General features: G+C 43.0%; 1 pseudogene, besides 5 other annotated features; it reads right to left on the bottom strand.

Annotated features, from left to right (window-relative positions):
* Positions 4,123-4,172: an enhancer, noted in NCBI's record as "active region_18126". NCBI's record gives its function as "activates an Ori minimal core promoter by ATAC-STARR-seq in GM12878 lymphoblastoid cells {active_cell/tissue: GM12878}" and the evidence as "EXISTENCE:reporter gene assay evidence [ECO:0000049][PMID:35858748]".
* Positions 5,945-6,064: an enhancer, noted in NCBI's record as "active region_18127". NCBI's record gives its function as "activates an Ori minimal core promoter by ATAC-STARR-seq in GM12878 lymphoblastoid cells {active_cell/tissue: GM12878}" and the evidence as "EXISTENCE:reporter gene assay evidence [ECO:0000049][PMID:35858748]".
* Positions 11,133-11,192: an enhancer, noted in NCBI's record as "active region_18128". NCBI's record gives its function as "activates an Ori minimal core promoter by ATAC-STARR-seq in GM12878 lymphoblastoid cells {active_cell/tissue: GM12878}" and the evidence as "EXISTENCE:reporter gene assay evidence [ECO:0000049][PMID:35858748]".
* Positions 11,203-11,262: an enhancer, noted in NCBI's record as "active region_18129". NCBI's record gives its function as "activates an Ori minimal core promoter by ATAC-STARR-seq in GM12878 lymphoblastoid cells {active_cell/tissue: GM12878}" and the evidence as "EXISTENCE:reporter gene assay evidence [ECO:0000049][PMID:35858748]".
* Positions 12,183-12,242: an enhancer, noted in NCBI's record as "active region_18130". NCBI's record gives its function as "activates an Ori minimal core promoter by ATAC-STARR-seq in GM12878 lymphoblastoid cells {active_cell/tissue: GM12878}" and the evidence as "EXISTENCE:reporter gene assay evidence [ECO:0000049][PMID:35858748]".
* On the bottom strand, positions 19,619-19,678 carry RNU7-14P (RNA, U7 small nuclear 14 pseudogene; annotated as a pseudogene).

Here is a 21,163-nt window from a genome sequence, read left to right on the forward strand (position 1 = left end):
GCCGGGCAACATGGCTCACGCCTGTAATCCCAACACTTTGAGAGGCTGAGGCGGGCAGATCACAAGGTCAGGAGTTCGAGACCAGCCTAACCAACATGGTGAAACTCCGGATCTACTAAAAATACAAAAAAAAATGACAGGCATGGTGGTGCGTGCCTGTAATCCCAGCTACTCAAGAGGCTGAGGCAGGAGAATCACTTGAACCCAGGAGATGGAGGTTGCAGTGAGCCGAGATTGCATCACTGCACTCCAGCCTGGGCAATAGAGTGAGACTGTGTCTCAAAAAAAAAAAAAAATCAAAATAAATGCAAACAGCCCATGATGAACAAAATATCAAACTTTTATATAATGACAGAACTGATATTAGGGTAAGGATGGCAAGGTGAGCCCTGCAATAGTTTCTCTGCTCCCGTTGCTTAATCTGCAAAATGGGATAAAATGGGATTGTATCTACCTTTTTTTGTTTTTGAGACGGAGTCTCCCTCTGTTGCCCAGGTTGGAGTGCAGTGGCAAGATCTTGGCTCACTGCAACCTCCGCCTACCGGGTTCAAGCGATTCTCCTGCCTTAGCCTCCTGAGTAGCTGGAATTACAGGCGCCTGTCACCACGCCCGGCTAATATTTTTGTATTTTTAGTAGAGACAGGGTTTCACAATGTTGGTCAGGCTTGTCTCGAACTCCTGACCTCAGATAATCCACCCGCCTGGGCCTTCCAAGGTGTGGGATTACAGGCATGAGCCACCGTGCCTGGCCTAGTATCTGCCTGTTTTTGTTTTTGTTTTTTTTTTTCTTTTTGAGACAGAGTCTTGCTCTGTCGCCCAGGCTGGAGAGCAGTGGCGTGATCTTGGCTCACTGCAACCTCAGCCTCCCAGGTTCAAGCAATTCTCCGGCCTCAGCCTCCCGAATAGCTGGGACTCCAGGCACGTGCCACCATGCCTGGCTAATTTTTTGTGTTTTTAGTAGAGACCGTGTTTCATCATGTTAGCCAGGATGGTTTCAATCTCCTGACCTCGTGATCTGCCTGCCTTGGCCTCCCAGAGTGCTGGGATTACAGGCATGAGCCACTGCGCCCAGCTTAGTATCTGCCTTTTAAGGCTTTATGAGGATTTGTCCAGAACTTCACACAGGAAGAGCTCAATACATGCTTATTACTCTTTTATTATTTTCATCAATATTATTAATCCTACGGTTGTGTACCACAGAACAAATATTTAAGCAATAACATCAAAATTTCAGAAAACTAAATGGGCTAGTTACTGTATTTTGTCGAACCTAAAACGTCACCATTTGTGAGATTTTCCATTATTTTATTTACTTATTTATTTATTCTGTAGAGTTGGGGTCTCTGTCACTATATTGGCCAGGCTGGTCTCGAGCTCCTGGGCTCAAGCGATCCTCCTATCTTGACCCTTCAAAGTGCTGGGATTACAGGCATAAACCACTGCATCTGGGCATGTTCCATTATTTTACGGACTATTAAATAAATGTTTTCAAATAATAGCAAGATGCCATTGACTGCAAAATACATATTGATTTTAGTTATATTAAAATGTAAAAACTAAAGTGCACTTTAGAATTGATAAAATATAATATTTGGGCCGGGTGCAGTGGCTCATGCCTGTAATCCCAGCACTTTGGGAGGCCAAGGTGGGCGGATCACTTGAGGTCAGGAGTTGGAGACGAGCCTGGCCAACACCCCGTCTCTACTAAAAATACAAAAATCAGCTGGACATGGCGGCTGAGCGCTTGTAATCCCAGCTAATTGGGAGGCTGAGGCAGAAGAATAGCTTCAACCCGGGAGGCGGAGGTTGCAGTCAGCTGAGATCCCACCAGGGCACTCCAGCATGGGCGACACAGTGAGACTCCGTCTCAAAAAAAAAAAAAAGAATATTCTGAGAATAAGTCTACATATTGGGTGCAGCATGCACTGGGGTGACGGGTGCACTAAAATCACAGAAGTCACCACTAAAGAGTTTATGTAACCCCAAAACCACCTGTACCCCAAAAGTTATTGAAATAAAAGTTTAAAAAATTAAGCTATTATAGGCCGGGCACGATGGCTCATGCCTGTAATCCCAGCACTTTGGGAGGCCAACGCGGGCAGATCACCTGAGGTCGGGAGTTTGAGACCAGCCTGACCAACATGGAGAAACCCCATCTCCACTAAAAAAATACAAAATTAGCCGGGGGTGGTGGCACATGCGTATAATCCCGGCTACTCCGGAGGCTGAGGCAGGAGAATCACGTGAACACGGGAGGCGGAGGTTGCGGTGAGCCAAGATCGCACCATTGCACTCCAGCCTGGGCAATAAGAGCAAAACTCCATTGCAAAAGAAAAAATTTTTTTAAAAAAATTAAGCTATTATCATTACATATGTTTATTATACTCTTTGCACATAAAAGTTTATACATTTTCGGCCGGGCGCGGTGGCTCACACCTGTAATCCCAGCACTTTGGGAGGCCGAGGTGGGCGGATCACAAGGTCAAGAGATCAAGACCATCCTGGCCAACATGATGAAACCCCGTCTCTATTAAAAGTACAAAAATTAGCTGGGCATAGTGGCACACGCCTGTAATCCCAGCTACTAGGGAGGCTGAGGCAGGAGAATCGCTTGAACCCGCGAGGCAGAGGTTGCAGTGAGCCGGGATTGTGCCACTGCACTCCAGCCTGGCGACAGGGCGGGACTCCATCTCAAAAAAAAAAAAAAAAAAGTTTATACATTTTCTAACTTTTATTGTACATTTCATTTTATCAACATAAAATTAACCTTTGGTTACTAAAAAAAATATATTGATAGATGGCAAGCATGCTTCCAAACGGATTGGACTTGTTGTAGTCAATTGATGTTTATGATTTAAAAAAAAAAAAGAAAACAAAACCTGTTCATTTAAACAATCATTATTATTTCCAGGTATTTTATGAGGAAGGGGCTTACACAGACATTTCTGTAACTAATAAATTATTTTTCTGCTTCTTTAGAGTTAATTATTCACAGTTACTTTGCGTAGTTACATGAGTTAGCTCTTCCCAACATTAGTAGTATTTGTTTTGTTTTGTTTTGTTTTTGGAAAATTTTCATCTAAATCACCGTGGGATATAATCACCATTCCACATGTTGCTTTGTTCAGTTGTACAGTACCTACCTTAGCCTCTGTAAAATTTGGTAAATATCACTGCTTTCTGGTTAAGTTCTGTGGAAGAAGGCAGAAAAAAAAATTACACCTCCCATGTCCCTTGTTGAATTAAGAGTACACAGACTTCTCTTTCCCCTTTTTTAAAATAAGTATCGTGGCAGTTGAAAACAGGTGCTAATTCAGTTCATTCACGATATGAGAAAGATCAATGTACATTTGAAACTCTCTTCAGAGCAGAAAATTGTTAAGAGTTGCGCAAAACAGAAAGCAGGTCCTTTTCTAAATATAGCAACGTCATATGACCCCACTGGTCTTTGTACTCAGAGAATTAAGGTATTAGACACATTGCTCCACGGATGCAGCATATAATTACTCTGGGGAAGAGGGACTATGACCAACGAGCACAGATATTAATATAAATATTGGGCTTGTGTCTGTCCTTTTTGATCTAAGGAAATAGACTTTTGAATGTTGCTGGGACATCCCCACATGACAGCTTGTCAACTGTGTAAACTTTCCCACTGCACACAGAAAACAGTTCTTCCATCTCTTTGGTTTTATTTTTATACCCCTTTTCACAGCAGTCAATGTTTAAACACTTTTCAAACAGTAGACTTTTTTTTGTCTATTTCCTTCTTTAACTGTGAGGTCTCAAACTGATGCTAATTCAGTTTTGTTGGTTATCATGATCATTTATGATACTAGATAGTTCTCAATTTAGGTCCCCTGTAATTAATCTCTGTGAACGTGGTGTTTTGTTTGTTTTGTTTGGTAACAACTCTTTACAGGGTAATTTGGACATGTATCCTTAAAGCTTTTAGTGCTTTTTAATTTTTTTAGTCTTTATTTTTAAAGACCATTTCAAGTTTACTGTGTATCTGGGAGAAATTAAAGATTAAATTGGGAGTGCAATGTTCAAGAGCTATCACTGCATTTAAATGTGTTTATCTGCAAGCTAAAATTCTTAACACCACCATTCTATTTTGCAGGAGGTAAGTCTTTCCAGCCAAGCAAGGGTTTGCAAAGCCGAGGTTAGTCAGTAAGGGCCGATACATATTAAAATTGAGAAAAGGCCTGTCCAAGCTTGGGGAAAAGCAGCTGTTCTCACACTGCTATCAGCATTTATCAAGGGGGAAATTTTTGTGTTAGCCCTCTGGGCCCACGGGAGGGAAGGAGTAGAAGGAAGTAACTATGATAGTTGCATATTTGAAGGAAGCAGAGGCCTCAGCTGGTTGCTAAAAAATCAATTTAAAAAATAAATGATGGAGCTCAGGCATACGGCAAGTTGTGGACTGAGAATTTGGTTTCAGGATTAGGGTGTTTCTACTTGGAAATTTACCATCCAGTTCCCTGGACCTGTCTTGGGGCATTTTTGTTGTTGTTGTTGTTGTTGTTTTGTTTTGATTTTTTTTGAGACAGGGTCTCACTGTCTCCCAGGCTGGAGTGCAGTGGCGCGATCTTGGCTCACTGCAACCTCTACCTCCCTGGTTCAAGTGATTCTCGTACCTCAGCCGCCCAAGTAGCTGGGATTACAAGTATGGGCCAGCACATCCGGCTAACGTTTGTATTTTTAGTAGAGATGGGGTTTCACCATGTTGGCCAGATTGGTCTCAAACTCCTGACCTCAGGTGATCAGCCTGCCTCCACCTCCTAAACTGCTGGGATTATAGGCGTGAGCCACCGCCCCGACTTTGGATTGAGGATACTCATTGATTAGTTTCAGATGTCCCTTATGAAATCAATTTCTTCATAAACCTTTTACTCCATATTGTCTTTTACAAAAAAGAGTACATTTCTGTACTATTATATACTTAAAATTATTTGTTAAACTATGTATTTTTGACAAATAAATCCAAAGACTCCAAATTTTAAAAAATAACCCCTCTTTTCAAAACAGCCTTCCCAAAGTTAAATTAAAAGTTGAGTTGGGGCTGGGCACAATGGCTCGCGCCTGTAATCCTAGCACTTTGGGAGGCCAAGGACAGCGGATCACGAGGTCAGGAGTTCAAGACCAGCCTGGCCAATATGGTGAAACCCCGTCTCTACTAAAAATACAAAAATTAGCTGGGCATGGCGGCGTGTGCCTGTAGTCCCAGCTACTTGGGAGGCTGAGGCAGAAGAATCACTTGAACCTGGGAGGCGGAGGTTGCAGTGAGCCAAGATCGTGCCACTGCACCACTCTAGCCTGGGCAACCAGAGTGAAACTCCATCTCAAAAAAAAAAAAAAAAAGTTGAGTTGGTCTCTATGACCTTTGCTTGTCTTTAAAAACAAAAAAATTAAACAAACTGCTTTTCTGGAATGTCCCTTGCAAAACGATAAATTATAACTTTATCAACTTCCCTAGAGGCCTTCAAAACAAAAGGAAAAAGTTAAATTAAGTTCAATCACTCTATTAGTTCATTCTAAAAGGTAACATTCCCCGAAATATATTTTTGTTCAGAGTACAACATTTAGAGAGCCGCGGGGTGGGATGAGGTGGTTCAGGCCTGTAATCCCAGCACTTTGGGAGGCTGAGGCCAGCGGATCACCTAAGGTCAGGAGTTCGAGACCAGCCTGGCCAACATGAAGAAACCCTGTCCCTACTAAAAATACAAAAATTAGCCGGGTGTGGTAGCATGCACCTGTAATCCCAGCTACTTGGGAGGCTGAAGCAGGAAAATTGCTTGAACCCAGGAGGCAGAGGTTGCAGTGAGCCGAGATTGTGTCACTGCACTCCAGCCTGGGCGACCGAGGCTCCATCTCAAAATAACTAATTAAGTAATAAAAAAACCCTCAAAATAAATATATAAGTAATAAAGAACCGCGAACGCAGCTTTCCTTTTTGAATGCTGAGTGAGGATCCCTGGCCAGAGGGAAACTTGGGCAGATACCAGTCACGATTCACCAGGAGCGCTCCGGATTCAGGGTTTTACTTCCTTAATTACAGAACCGAAACTGGCTAAGTGTTGACTGATCAAGAGTTAAGAGTTTCGAAGTTAAGGAAGCAGTAAACTCATTTCCAAGAGTTGTCTTCCCAAACTACTCCTTCTCCTAATACGTGTAGGATTTTCCTAGTCTAAGACAGAGGTCTCTCTCTCTCTGTCTCTTGCTCTCTTTCTTTCCCTTTAATAACCCCAAGTATTTGATAGTTCATTAATATGAAAGAGAGTTTTGTAGTTTCCTTAATAAAATGTTGAGCACCTCCAGAAGGGAGAGAATTTCCCCCAATAACATTATCTATGGACATTTTCTGCCTTTTTGTGAAACCTCCCTGAAGCTTAGCCCTGCCTTCATTTCTGATTAATCACTTGGGCTCACAAGATAATTCAGGAATCACACTCCACCAGCAGTGAACTATCTTTAGGAGATGAATTGATTAAAACTCACTGTTTGATGACTTGGGTTTGATACGGTTCAGCATTTTTCGAATACAATTAGAGATATTTAAATCTTTCCAATAAAAGGAGAAGGTGGATTTTTTAAAAATCCACCATATGTCTCTAAATCATTTTCATTTTATCTAAAGAATGGGGAATTTAACATCTCCAGAAATATCTGGCTTCCTTTTTTTTTTTTTTTTAATGTAGTCAGTAGGTCAAAAAAAAAAAAACCCACATGTAATAGGAAGTGAACATATTATACACGTTTTAAAAATTTGTTCATATATATATCATTTAAACCTGAGTCCTCTAAACTTTGTTCCTATAGAATTTTCACTGTATATTTTCACACATATATATTTTTATATGTTTATCCATACGTAAATACTTACACACAGTGAGGTTATTGAGAAAGTAGTCTTGGAATCCAGATACTAAAACCACAACACTTTAGAATTGGAAACCATACAATTTTGTTTATTCCAGCTCTATCATTATAGAAAGGGATACTTGGGCTGAGAGAAGTTATTTAGCTTGCTTGAAGATCTTTGTATTCTGGTCTTGAATTTGCCACATAATAAATATTGCACTTAACCTTGAGGGTTTCTGTCTCCTCATCTGTAAAATAGGTCCACTGGAAGACGATTTTTAATTTAGTTGAATGTATCTGATTTTGCAAACACGGGGGTTTTGGAGCATGCAAAAGAGGATGATGTTCAGGAGTCCAAATGACTAGTCAGCCCAACCTTTTTAGCCAATGGATTCATTTATTTTGGCCCTGGACAGGTATTAGCTGTCCTTTAAAAGATTGGCTTCTGGCAGTTTGGGTTTCCCCCACACGTTTGCTTCTGTGTATTTTTATCAGCCCTCGACTCAGAAGAATCCAATTAGAGTCAATTCCTTTAGTGCAAGTGGCAGCAAATACTAGACTATCCAGAATTGTCAGAATCTTGTTTCCTGCTTTACCCAGCCGTCTTGTCTCCATTTTACATAGTTTTCAGCTTTGCTGGAGGAATAGGCCTGCTGTACTTTTTGGAATTTCCTCAGCCACTCATCATTTCAGGCTGAACATTAATGATTTATCCAGCAAAGGTTATTAAAATTGACTATAGTCTCTGAAGAAAGGATAGTTTGTCAAACCCACATCTTAAGACTCATTGGATATATTTTGCATGAATTGTGATTAATGCAAGGTAATTTCAGAGGATGGCTTTTGCTAATTAATAAATCAATCACATTGACTCATCTTGGTAGACTGAACTTTAAAAGTTCATTACTGACTTGCTCAAAACCAGAATCCCACACATACATAGTTTAGTGGTTTAAGGCAATTCTTAAGAAAGCAAACAGATTGAGCAATACTTTAATTCAGAAACAAATTGCTTAATCTGTGTCCTCTAAAAATAACGTGCCTGAGAAAGAAAAACTATAAAATACAGGCAATACACTAACATATTCCTGCTTCTTGATTGATTTCACATATACAACAAAGCTCACATCATTATAAAAGATTTGGAAAGGTCATATGGAAACATCACACTACCAATAGAAGGATTTCTGAAGTAGTTGAAAGCACCAACTTTACCTAAAACAACAAAACAAAACAAAAAATGTAACCAAGTTGTTATAAATTGTCCGCTCTAAAGTTCTAGAGATCTTATGGAATAAATGCAGGCTATTATTATTATTATTTTTTGCTTCTGCCCAAAGCGAAGTTTAGTTATTTAAAAAGCCACTGGAATTGTGCTTTCAAGAAAGCAAAAATGGCTTGTGTTTTTCATATTACTTTGAAAGGGACAGACATGCCCTTCAACAGAAAGCAATAAGCTGCCATTCAAAGAATGGAGTTTCCCTGCAGCTAATGGCAGTGGGATCTGAATCAGATAATACACATATGTAGAATCTTTAGGACCAAACCACAAAAAAAAAAAAAAAAAAAAAATCAAAGCAAAGCAAAAAGCAAAACAAAACAAAACAAAAAAAGAAGAAGTGTAATTCAAGTCCTGTATAAATTAAACCTACAGTAATTTTCTCAAAGTGTATTTTCTGTTTTAGGTTACTAGAGTATTTTAAAACTTTCTCCATGAACAAATAGGAATGTCCATATACAAAAAAAAGTGGAACCTGGATTCCAGCCAGGAGGGGTCTGCAACCACGTAGAACAATTGGAGACTTAACAATCTGTAATATTCGTGTTATATTCTATAATATTCACTGAAATAGACCTCAATGACTTTGAGCTCAGGACTCCATGAATTTCTTCCACATGTGCTTCCTCTGGATGATGGGGGAGGCAGGGGAAAGGGAGAGCAAACAGCTGCTTGAGATGGGAGGGGGCAGAGAGGTGAGGAGGAGAGGAGCTTAGGAGGACTGAGATCCTCATTACCTACCCTCAATAGCTGTGGCACAATAATTCTTTTCTTTTGGAATGCAAATATGGTATTTATAGCCAATCAGGTCTTTTGAGTGGATTAACATTTAGTCCTTTTGATATGGGAAGAAAGAAGGGGGAAGGAGAAGGAAGAAAGAAGAAAAGAAATTTAAAAAAATTAAAAGTAGGGAGAAATAGATTAATCCTGACACTAATATAATGATCTGGATAGCTAAACTACATCGATGTTTCTGGGGTGCCAGGTATAGGCTAACACTTTCTTTTTATACTTATCCCCTAAATCTCCAATTAAGTAAACCTTACCCTAGCTGACACTCCCTCAGTTTCTTCAAATCTTTTAGTCATCTTTCTTGAGGGCATTTAATGTTTTTCCTACTTTAAATTCACGCTCTTGCTAAAGACCATCTATGTAAGATAGGTGCACTATTCATGGCACAATTATGCGGTTCCCAGTTAAAATGTGATAAGGGAAGTTATAGCTGGATTCTCCTATGATGTAATGTAGTCTTTGAATGACACTTTAAACAGTCACAGCTTTTCTCCATTGGGATCCCCATTCTGCCCCTCAAAGCTGTGTGATCTTGGGTACCTCTTCACACTTCAGTTTTGCCATCTGTAAAATGGGTATAGCAATGGTATCAAACCTTAAGCGGCATTACGGAGGCCAAATATGCTAATGTGTATGTTTGGTGTAGAGTAAGCCCCAAATAAAGACTAGCCATTGTTTTCGTGGCCATTTTTTGTCTGTTGAGAAACTGTTAATGCAGCAACTTTCTCCGGGTTAGAGTTGGATTAACTAACAAGCTTCTGAGGAAAATATTAAAATTTCCCGTGATTTTCCACAGTGGCTATTTAATATATATTACATCAAGCAAGCAGGTAAAGAAAAGCAATACTTTCAGGTGTAAATACAGCACCTGGATTGGGTTGATTTTGGTAATTCGGTTTTTTTCCTTAGACAAAGCTAGGTTTTCAAGCCAAACAGTACACAGCTGTAGAAAACAGTCACTTAAAATTTCAAAAGGTTGCTCTGTATGTGTAATTACTATTATTATTATTATTTCAGACAGAGTCTTGCTCTGTCGCCCAGACTGGAGTGCAGTGGTGTGATCTCGACTCACTGCAACGCTCAAGGGATTCCCATGCCTCAGCCTCCTGAGTAGCTCGGTGTAAAATTACAGGCATGTGCCACCACGCCCGGCTAATTTTTGTATTTTTAATAGAGATGGGGTTTCGCCATGTTGGCTAGGCTGTTCTGGAACTCCTAACCTCAAGTGATCCGCCCACTTCGGCCTCCCAAGGTCCTGAGATGACAGGTGTGAGCCACCTTGCCCGGCCCCGTATGTGTAATTATGTATCTACTTTTATTCTTGATGTTGTTTATAAGTACATTCCCTCTTGTTTTTCTTACTCATTCTTACCAATGGACTTAAACTTAATTTTATTGGACTTTACAAAGAATGAGTGATTTTTTTTTTTTTTTTTGAGACGGAGACCCCGTCGCCCAGACTGGGGTACAGTGGCGCAATCTCGGCTCACTGCAAGCTCCGCCTCCCGGGTTCACGCCATTCTCCTGCCTCAGCTTGCCGAGTAGCTGGGACTACAGGCGCCCCGCCCGGCTAATTTTTTGTATTTTTAGTTTAGACGGGGTTTGTTTCACCCTGTTAGCCAGGATGGTCTCCATCTCCTGACCTCATAATCGGCCCGCCTTGGCCTCCCAAAGTGCTGGGATTACAGGCGTGAGCCACCGCGCCCAGCCGAATCAGTGATTTTACTGATCAAAAAGTATTGGTTGTTTTTTATTTATGTGACAACTTCCGCTCTTAAGTTTATGAATTCCTTTGTATATTAGATTATGGAAGTGTCTTTAAGAAATAAATACAATTTTAAAATATCTATCTACAGGTAATATCCACATCTCTATGTCTATCGATAGAGAATAACATTTAGGGAAACGGAGAGGGGAGAGGGAGCTAGAATGGAAAGGGCACCTCACAGATGATTTCTCCCCTAACAAATTTTTGTTTTGTTTTGTTTTGCTTTGAGATTTTACTTTTTTGCAAGAAGAATCTATTTAGGTATTAGTTGAATTTTTCATCGGTCAGGTCCAAAGAACAAGGGGGGGTGGGGAGGGGACGGCGGGAGAGTGTGGCAGGGTGTGGGCGGGGCAGGAAGAAATGGGGGCCCACCCTGAAGGCTTTCTTAGGTCCTTTTCTCAGCCATTTTCCTCCTTCCCCAACCGGAGAATTGCCCCGCGTGTGCAAGGAGCGGCGTGCCTCCACGCAGCAGCAACAACAACAGCCGCGCGAGTGGCCGCAGCGTCCACGCCGCCCGCGAGTGGCCGCAGCGTCCACGCCGCCAGCGCAAAGTCGGTGCGCACAGCCTGGCGCGAGTTCGAAGCTGGAGAGGGCTGTAAAATAGATTGGGGGGCGGGGGAGACCACGTGATTTTCTGGAACGCTGGCTCGCCTCTTTATTTTGATTCTCGAGTAAACTTACAATCCCCAAAATGCGTTGAGGGCATCGGAAAGAGTAAAGTCACGTTCCGCTGGAAAGGATCACTTCTTAAGTTCACATGAACCTATTCTTTGATCCTCCTTCATTGCTGCTTAAGATTTACTTCTCTTTCAAATCAAATAATGTGTTTCTTTCTCATTCTGAGAAAAGCTTTCAAGATGTGATTTCCCTTTTGAAACACTTTGAAGTCTTTCCCCAGCACATCCTTTCTTAAAGGGATTTGGTAAGAGGAGATAGGCCTGGAGGCCAGGGCATTTTAAAGTCACTTTCCAAATACCCTGTGTTCCCTTAAAGAGTCTTGAATTGAAACATCCCAGCTGCTGGAAGACGTTTCCAAATGTGACTCTGTGGCTGCAACACCCTAATGTCTTCTCTCCTAGGACCCTGGTGGGTCATAAAGACAGACAGAGCAGAAAGGAAGCCTTTAGTTTTTTAAGTAAAGCCACTTCCATGGGCTTCCTAAAACAACAAGGATTCTCACATTTAGTTAGTCCTCTCTGTTAGGACATCAAGGGAGAAACAGCTGAAATCCAGGGCTGAACATTTCCTGGCGCGGCTAGATTTGAAGCTTCCAGTATGTGGAGTATCACCTTCATTCCCTCTGGGGGCGTCTATATGGTTTGTGCCAGGTGGGAGCACCTGCCCCGTGGTGGCCAAAAATACTGACAGCAATTCAAGCTTCTCACTTCCGAATGAGATGTTTGTACACGAAGTGACCTTTAATTGTGTCTTAGAAACTCATGTCAGATCAACATGTGGTTTCACTTATTCAGGAGAGGTTATTACATTTCAAGCTGTTTTGTGTTAGTTTTTAGCATTTAAATGAAGTATTTTCTCTTTCATATATTTGATGTGGCTCAAAGAAGCTTGCTTCTTTTTCTTTTTTTTCCTTCATAGATTTTATTGTTTGATTAGATCTTTTTGTCAAGTCAGATCAAAGATGGCTTTTCCTTTCTTTAGGAGAGAGATCTTTTATGAAAACAAATCAATAGAACAGATTTCACAGTAAAGAGGCATTTTGTTTAAAAGATTTTGAAAAGAGGAAAAAGATTACAATGAGGGTAGAAGAGAGATGTTTTTATTTTTGTATTCTATTTGTCTGTCAAAGAGTTAGATGAAAGCAAATACTTTGGCATTCTCAACTTCAGATTTACTGTGGGGAGGCTTTGCAGACTCAGCTAGATAGACACATCCTTATAGAAGAATTCACTTTACCTTTTAGCATCTGGGAATATCCGAGAGCTGGTGGCTCCTCCCTACCTATCCCTGCTCCCTCCTAAGATGATGTAGATGCTGGATTCTTGGCTTTTTGGCATCTTTTTCAGATGAACTCCTTCACATGCTTCAAGAGAAAATGCAGGAGTTTCTAGATAGCATTCATGTTTTTGTAGCAACTTTTAGTTCCCTCTATCCAGGGGCTACCACAGTATATTGAAATGATGTGTTTACTTGGTGGCTATGCTGCTCTTTAGGGGCAGGAAAGGGCTGGTTCACCTTGTCCCTCTCCCTGCTTGTCGGAGCTCAACAAATATTTGTCAATCTGAACTGAACAAAGGCAGAAATGTGGTCAGTATTCCCTGTGCTATTTCTTTTTTTTCTTTTCTTTTTCTTTTTTTTTTTTTTTTGGGATGGAGTTTCGCTCTTGTTGCCCAGGCTGGAGTGCAATGGCACGATCTCTGCTCACCGCAACCTCCACCTCCTGGGTTCAAGCAATTCTCCTGCCTCAGCCTCCCGAGTAGCTGGGATTACAGGCACGCACCACTGTGCCCAGCTAATTTTGTATTTTTAGTAGAGACAGGGTTTTTCTCCATGTTGGTCAGGCTGGTCTCGAACTCCCGATCTCAGGTGATCCTCCCGCCTCAGCCTCCCAATGTGCTGGGATTACAGGCATGAGCCACCGCACCCAGCTCCTTGTGCTATTAAAAAAAGATAATTAAGATTATATTGGGAGTATTTGGCAGTCACCAGGTAAATAACATCTGTAAAACATCATAGATGGAATATATGGATGCCTCTAGACAGCACTTATTATCTCACTCAATATGTGTTTTTCTTATCTGTCTCTTTTTTTAAAATTTTTTTTTTTTTTAATTTTTTGTAGAGACAGTGGTTTCACTGTGTTGCCCAAGCTGGCCTCGAACTCCTGGGTTTAAGCAATCCTCCCACCTTGGCCTCCCAAAGTACTGGACTTACAGGTGTGAGCCACTGCACCCAGCCAGTACCTGTCTCTTCAGCCTAAAATGTCTGCTCCATCAGGGCAGGATTTTGTGGTAAACATTTAGAACAATGCCTGAGACATAGCAATAGCTCAGAAGTTATTTGAAGCAATCTACACATTTCCTCTTTCCCATTTCCGGGCATGATGAAGGGGTAAATTAAGAACAGTCATCCAAATAATTCAAGTAAAAGACAATCTTGAGGCCGGGTGAGGTGGCTCAGGCCTGTAATCCCAGCACTTTGGGAGGCTCAGGTGGGTGGATCACTTGAGGTCAGGAGTTTAAAACCAGCTTGGCCATCATAGTGAAACCCTGTCTCTACTAAAAATACAAAAAATTATCTGGGCATGGTGGTGTGCGCCTGTAATCCCTGCTACTCGGGAGGCTGAGGCAGGAGAATCGCTTGAACCCAGGAGGCAGAAGTTGCCGTGAGCCAAGATCGTGCCACCGCACTCCAGCCTGGGTGACGGATCGAGATTCTATCTCAAAAAAGAGACAATCTTAAGTGATTTGCCAATCCAGAAACCTCAGTTGTGTGGTTGCTACAATTCTCCAGTTGCCTTGGCTGTGAGTGAGGACTTAGGCATCCAGAGAGTACATCATGTATATAATAGTTGATGCCTCTCCAGTGCCCCAAACAGTATTATCAATATATCTTTTGTTTTGTTTTGTTTTGTTTTTGAGACAGAGTCTTGCTCTGTTGCCCAGGCGGAGTGCAGTGGCATGATCTTGGCTCACTGCAACCTCCTGCTCCCAGGTTCAAGTGATTCTCCTGTCTCAGCCTCCCAAGTAGCTGGGATTACAGGTGTGCACCACCACACTCAGTTCAATTTTCTATTTTTGTAGAGACAGGGTTTCTACAAAACCTGTCTGGCCATGTTGGCCAGGCTGGTCTGGAACTACTGACCTCAAGTGATTTGCCTGCCTTGGCCTCCCAAAGTACTGGGATTACAGGTGTGAGCCACTGCCCCCCGCCTCCAAACAATATATTCTTTATTCATTCAAATAATCAGGCAATTCCATGAAAACAATCAAGAAAATGCATTGGGCCGGGTGTGGTGGCTCATGCCTGTAATCCTGCACTTTGGGAGGCCAAGGCAGGAGGATCACTAGGTCAAGAGCTTGAGACCATCCTGGCCAACATGGTGAAACCCAGTCTCTACTAAAAATACAAAAATTAGCTGGGTGTGGTGGTGCGCGCGCCTGTAGTCCCAGCTACTCAGGAGGCTGAGTGAGGCAGGAGAATCGCTTGAACCCAGGAGGCGGAGGTTGCAGTGAGCTGGGATCCCACCACTGTACTCCAGCCTGGTGCCGGAACGAGACTCCGTCTCAAAAAAAAAAAAAAAAAAAAAAGCATTGATTTTTGTATCAAAGTATCCTGAAGAATTGCTGAAACAAAAATTTTAAAGTATGTCTTTTTCTCTCCATTTCTCCTAACACGCTTCAAAGGGTGGATGCTTAATAGAACTTTCTTGACTTGACCCCAGCCAAGGAAATTTAAAAAGTCAAAGCACTTGGTGTGTAGGATATAAGCTCCTTAGTGCCTGAAACCCAGTGAAGTCCTGCTCTCTGCTGTAGCTTACACACCTGGCAGAATGCCTGGCATACAGTGGGTGTTAATGAATGAATCGTGTCTGTCTCAGCTACTGTTTTATAGATTGAACTTTAGGTACCACTTCAAATCTTGAAAAGTTCTGGGAGAAATTTCCCCTGCATTTACAATGTAGTGGTTGAATGGCTAACCATTTAATTTGAACATTTAGGCGGCCACCTTGTATGCGCAATTAAGTTTCCAACCACAGTTTTGCTTGTTAATTACATATGGCCTCTGTAATTAACAACATGTGTGAAATACACCAGGCTTTTGGTAATAGAAGAAGCAACAAGGAAATATATATGTATATTTCAGAGAAATGAGCATTGAAGGAATACTGGGAGTCAAAAACAAAAAAATCAAAGCAATTAGATAGTGTTTTCCCCTTGTTTACAGCCAAGGGCCTCTGATAGCAGGTGTAGGCTCTGGTAAAAAAAAGAAAAAAGATTTTTTTTTCTCAGGCCAATGCAGTCTGGCCAGCCTAATTTATTTACTCAGTGCATTGGTTAGCTTTTTTCAATTTTTCAAAATTTTTTTTCTTTTTTTTTGTTTGAGACAGAGTCTCACTCTGTTACCAGGGCTGGAGTGCAGTGGCAGAATCTCGGCTCACTGCAACCTCTGCCTCCCTAGTTCAAACGATTCTCCTGCCTCAGTCTCCTGAGTAGCTGGGACTACAGGCGCTCACCACCACGCCACCACCACGCCTGGCTAATTTTTGTATTTTTAGTAGAGACGGGGTTTCACCATGTTGGCCAGGATAGTCTCCGTCTCTTGACCTCGTGATCTGCCTGCCTCGGCCTCCCAAAGTGCTGGGATTACAGGCATGAGCTAACGTGCCCGGCTCTTTTTTTTCTTTTTCTTTTCTTTTATTTTAAAGCAACAGGATCTTGCTCTGTCCCTCAGCCTGGAGTGCATTGGGCGGATCATAGCTCACTGTAGCCTCCAACTCTTGGGATTAGGGATTCTCCTGCCTCATCCTCCAAATTAGCTAGGAATACAGGCATATTTCATCAGGCCTGGCTTTTTTATTTTTTCGTAGAGACAGGGTCTTGCTATGTTGCCCAGGCTGGTCTTAACTCCTGGGCTCAAATGATCCTCCCACCTCAGCATCCCAAACTGCTGGATCACAGGCATGAGCCACCATGTCTGGCTGTATTGGTTAGCTTTTGCTGTTTAACAAATCACCCGAAAAGTTAATAGCTTAAAGCAACAACCATTTTTTATAGGCCATATTCTTCTTCCTTTTTTTTTTTTTTTTTTTTGAGACGGAGTCTCGCTCTGTCGCCCAGGCTGGAGTGCAGTGGCGGGATCTCGGCTCACTGCAAGCTCCGCCTCCCGGGTTCACGCCATTCTCCTGCCTCAGCCTCCCAAGTAGCTGGGACTACAGGCGCCCGCCACCACGCCCGGCTAATTTTTTGTATTTTTAGTAGAGACGGGGTTTCACCGTTTTAGCCGGGATGGTCTCGATTTCCTGACCTCGTGATCCGCCCGCCTCGGCCTCCCAAAGTGCTGGGATTACAGGCGTGAGCCACCGCGCCCGGCCTCTTCCTTTTTTTTTTGAGACAGGGTCTCACTCTGTTGCCCAGGCCAGAGTGGAGTGGTACGATCATGGCTCACTGCATCTTTGCCCTCCTGGGCCTAAGCCCCCCACCTTGGTCTCCCAAGTAGCTGGGACCACAGGCATGTGCCACCATGCCAAGCTAATCTTTTTTATCTTTGTAGAGATGGAGTCTCACTATGTTGTTCGGGCTGGTCTTGAACTCCTGAGCTCAAGTAATCCTCCCATCTTGGCCTCCCAAAATGCTGCAATTACGGGCATGAGCCACTGCACCTGGCATATTCTAGATTTAGCCAGATGAGCTGATCTCTACTGGGCTCTCTCATGTATCTGTGGTCAGCAAGTCTAGGATTGCCTTGCTCCCGCATCCACGGATTGTCACAGATACAGATACTCAAGGGGTCCTTAGCTGGGACAGGTTGTCTCTGTTCTATGTGGTCACCCATCTTCTGCCTGGGTGATACAGGGTCTTGCTGTGTTGCCTGAGCTGGAGTGCAGTGGTGCCATCGTGGCTCACGGTAGCCTCAACCTCCCAGGCTCAGGAAAATCCTCCTGCCTTAGCCTTCTAAGTAGTTGGGACCACAGGCATGCAACTACCACATCCGCTACTTTTTTATTTGTAGAGATGAGAGTCTCACTGTGTTGCCCAGGATGGTCTCAACTACTGGCCTCAAGTGATCCCGCCTTGACCTCCCAAAGTGCTGGGATTACAGCAGGTGTGAGCCACCATGCCTTCCATATATATTTTTTGAAGATTTCTAATGTGACCAGAAGTACCTGGAATTGGATGCTCCTGATAGTTGTACTTTACTCACATTTCAAATTTAGCAATAGAGATTATAAAGAATTTTTATGTATACACACTTGTGCACACATACCCTACAGTCTCGGGAATGTAGATTAGACCCTTTTTTTTTTTTGGAGATGGAGTTTCACTCTTATTCCCCAGGCTGGAGTGCAATGGTGCGATCTTGGCTTACCTCAACCTCCACTTCCTGGGTTCAAGCAATTCTCCTGCCTCAGCCTCCTGAGTAGCTGGGATTACAGGCATGTGCCACCACGCCCAATTAATTTTTGTATTTTTAGTAGAGATGGGGTTTCTCCATGTTGGTCAGGCTGGTCTCCAACTCCCGACCTCTGGTGATCCACCCGCCTCGGCCTTCCCAAAGTGCTGGGATTACAGGCGTGAGCCACCGCACCCAGCAGACTCTTGAAGTCTGTAGGGAAGAGAGGTGTCTCAGCTAACTTGAGGTATTAAGGGAATGGCATATGGCAATAATAATAACAATAACCATTATACCAATAGCTGGGTCAGGATTGCTGCCCAAGTGATCTCATGCAAATCCATTAGCCTTCCTGAGCCTTGGTTTTCACATCTTATTTTCCTGTAGGACGTTAGAGAACTACTTGAACACTGTTTGCACAAGCACACTTTAAACTTTAGTGTATTACACATACATTAGCAATTATTATGCCCAGAAAGCACTGGCTTTTTTTTGTAGCTGAACAATGTAAATCTATTTTCAGACCCAATAAAAAAGGATACATTAAAATTATTTTCTTCTATGGCTGGGCGCGGTGGCTCACGCCTGTAATCCCAGCACTTTGGGAGGCTGAGGCGGGCGGATCACCAGGTCAGGAGTTCAAGACCAGCCTGGCCAACACAGTGAAACCCCGTCTCTACTGAAAATACAAAAAATTAGCCGGGCGTAGTGGTGAGCGCCTGCACTCCCAGCTATTCAGGAAGCTGAGGCGTGGTGGCCGGCGCGTGTAATCCCAGCTACTTGGGAGGCTGAGGCAGGAGAATCGCTTGAACCCGGGATGCAGAGGTTGAGGTGAGCCGAGATTGTGCCACTGCACACCAGCCCCTGTGACAATGTGAAACTCCGTCTCAAAAAAAAAAAAAAAAATTACTTTCTTCTGCAGTAGGGATTGTCCAGGCAGAACAGCAACAACAACAAAAGAAAACAAAATAATAAGTTTATGATTGAAAATCAAATGCCTTACCCAATTTTAAATTCCAACTTTTATTTATTTTTATTTATTTATTTAATTTTATTTTATTTTTTGAGATAGAGTTCACTCTTATCGCCAAGGCTGGAGTGCAATGCAATGGTACAATCTCGGCTCACTGCAACCTCTGCCTCCCGGGTTCAAGCGATTCTCCTGCCTCAGCCTCCCAAGTAGCTGGGATTACAGGAATGTGCCACCATGCCTGGCTAATTTTTGTATTTTTAGTAGAGACGGGGTTTCACTACGTTGGTCAGGCTGGTCTCAAACTCCTGATCTCAGGTTGATCCACCTGCCTTGGCCTCCCAATTTCCAGCCTTTTAAAATTCACATTACTTTGATGATGATCACTGTGTTTGAGTAAGGATTGTGGGATCCTTGCCTTTGTGGGCTGAATATTGTATTCACAACATTGGGCACAAAACTGAATACGGTGCCTGGCTTCTAATAGGTGCTTAAGATGTCGTTTTTTGGCCACGTGCAGTGGTGGCTCACGCCTCTAATCCCAGCATTTTGGGAGGCTTGGGTGGACAGATCACTTGAGGTCAAGAGTTCGAGACCAGCCTGGCCAACATGGTGAAAACCCGCCTCTGCTAAAAATACAAAAATTAGCTGGGCGTGGTGGTGTGTGCCTGTAATCCCAGCTACTCGGGAGGCTGAGGCAGGAGGATCGCCTAAACCCAGAAGGCAGAGTTTGCAGTGAGCTGAGATCATGCCACTGCACTCCAGCCTGGGGGACAGAGTGAGACCCTGTCTCAAAAAAAAAGAAAGAAAGATGTAGGGTTTTTTTTTTTAGTTTTTTTTTTTGTTTGTTTTGTTTTTTTTTAGTTTTCTTAAGGGGGCTTTCTGGCAAAAACCAGAAAGCCTGCTAGACAAATTGTAAAAGAGTTGTAACACTAAGATGTAGTTGTTGAACAATAAAATAAATGAATGAATAAATGAACGAACTTCTGCTGTGGGATGTTCTTTTTTTTTTTTTTTCTGTTGAGATGGAGTCTCCCTCTGTCGCCCAGGCTAGAGTGCAGTGGTGCGATCTCGGCTTACTGCAACCTCTGCCTCTCAGGTTCAAGCGATTCTCCTGCCTCAGCCTCCCAAGTAGCTGGGATTACAGGCGTGTGCCACCATGCTCGGCTAATTTTTGTGTATTTAGTAGAGACGGGATTTCACCATGTTGGCCACGCTGGTCTCAAACTCCTGACCTCAGGTGATCCGCCTGCCTCGGCTTCCCAAAGTGCTGAGATTACAGGCATGTGCCACCGTGCCCAGCCTTTGCTGTGGGATGTTCTAAGTGAATGCATAAACTTTATGTTAGAGAAAGCCCCGCCCACATTTATAGGGTTTATTTCCCTATTGCAGGTTGTTATAAACTTGTGCTCAGGAGTCCTTCATCTGAAGACTGAAGTCCAGTCTAGTGCTGAGAACCACTCCCTTACCGAGAGCGAGCGCTTAGCACAACATAGCCATAATAATAGCTGCCTAATAACCTTTTCCTTTCTGCCTGGCTCAGAGCTACCTTCATTAAAAGCTTTTCTGGGGGTTTCTCTTTGTTCCAAGACCCCCTTCCTTGTCTCTGTGTGGGGGAGCTGTTCTCTTCTTTCTTCCTTCTTTCTTGGTTGTTAAACTTTTCGCTCCTTAAAACCAAAAAAAAAAAAAAAATGTTTTCCTGGCTTAGAGTTTGAGCTCTTGGGTCAGAGGATTTGGGTTTTAATCCCTGTCCTACTGTTCACTCTTGTGTGACTTTGTGCAACTTTCTTTTTCTTTTTGGCTTGCTTTTGTTGTTTTGTTTTCTTTTGAGACAGGGTCTTGCTCTGTTGCCCAGGCTGGAGTGCAGTGGTGCCAGCTGAGCTCGCTGTAACCTCTGCCTCTGGGTTTCAAGTGATCCTCCCACCTCAGCCTCTCAAGTATCTGGGATCACAGGATCGTGCCAATACGCACGGCTTTCTTTTTCTTTTTTCTTTTTTTTTTGAGACAGTCTCACTCTCGCCCAGGCTGGAGTGCAATGGCACAATCTCAGCTCACCGCAACCTCTGCCTCCCGGGTTCAAGCAATTCTCCTGCCTCAGCCTCCTGAGTAGCTGGGATTATAGGCATGTGCCACCACGTCCGACTAATTTTGTATTTTTAGTAGAGACGGGGTTTCTCCATGTTGGTCAGGCTGATCTTGAACTCCTGACCTCAGGTGATCTGCCCGCCTCAGCCTCCCAAAGTACTGGGATATAGGTGTGAGCTACCGCGCCCCGCCCTGCTTTCATTTTTTCATCTGTAAAATAAGAAAGGTAAGCCAGGCATTGTGGCTCATGCTTGTAATTCCAGCATTTTAGGAAGCCAAGATGGGAGGATCGCTTGAGCCCAGGAGTTCAGGATCAGCCTGGGCAACATAAGGA

This window comes from Homo sapiens, chromosome 20 (genome assembly GCF_000001405.40).
Source record: "Homo sapiens chromosome 20, GRCh38.p14 Primary Assembly".
Taxonomy (NCBI): Eukaryota; Metazoa; Chordata; class Mammalia; order Primates; family Hominidae; genus Homo; species Homo sapiens.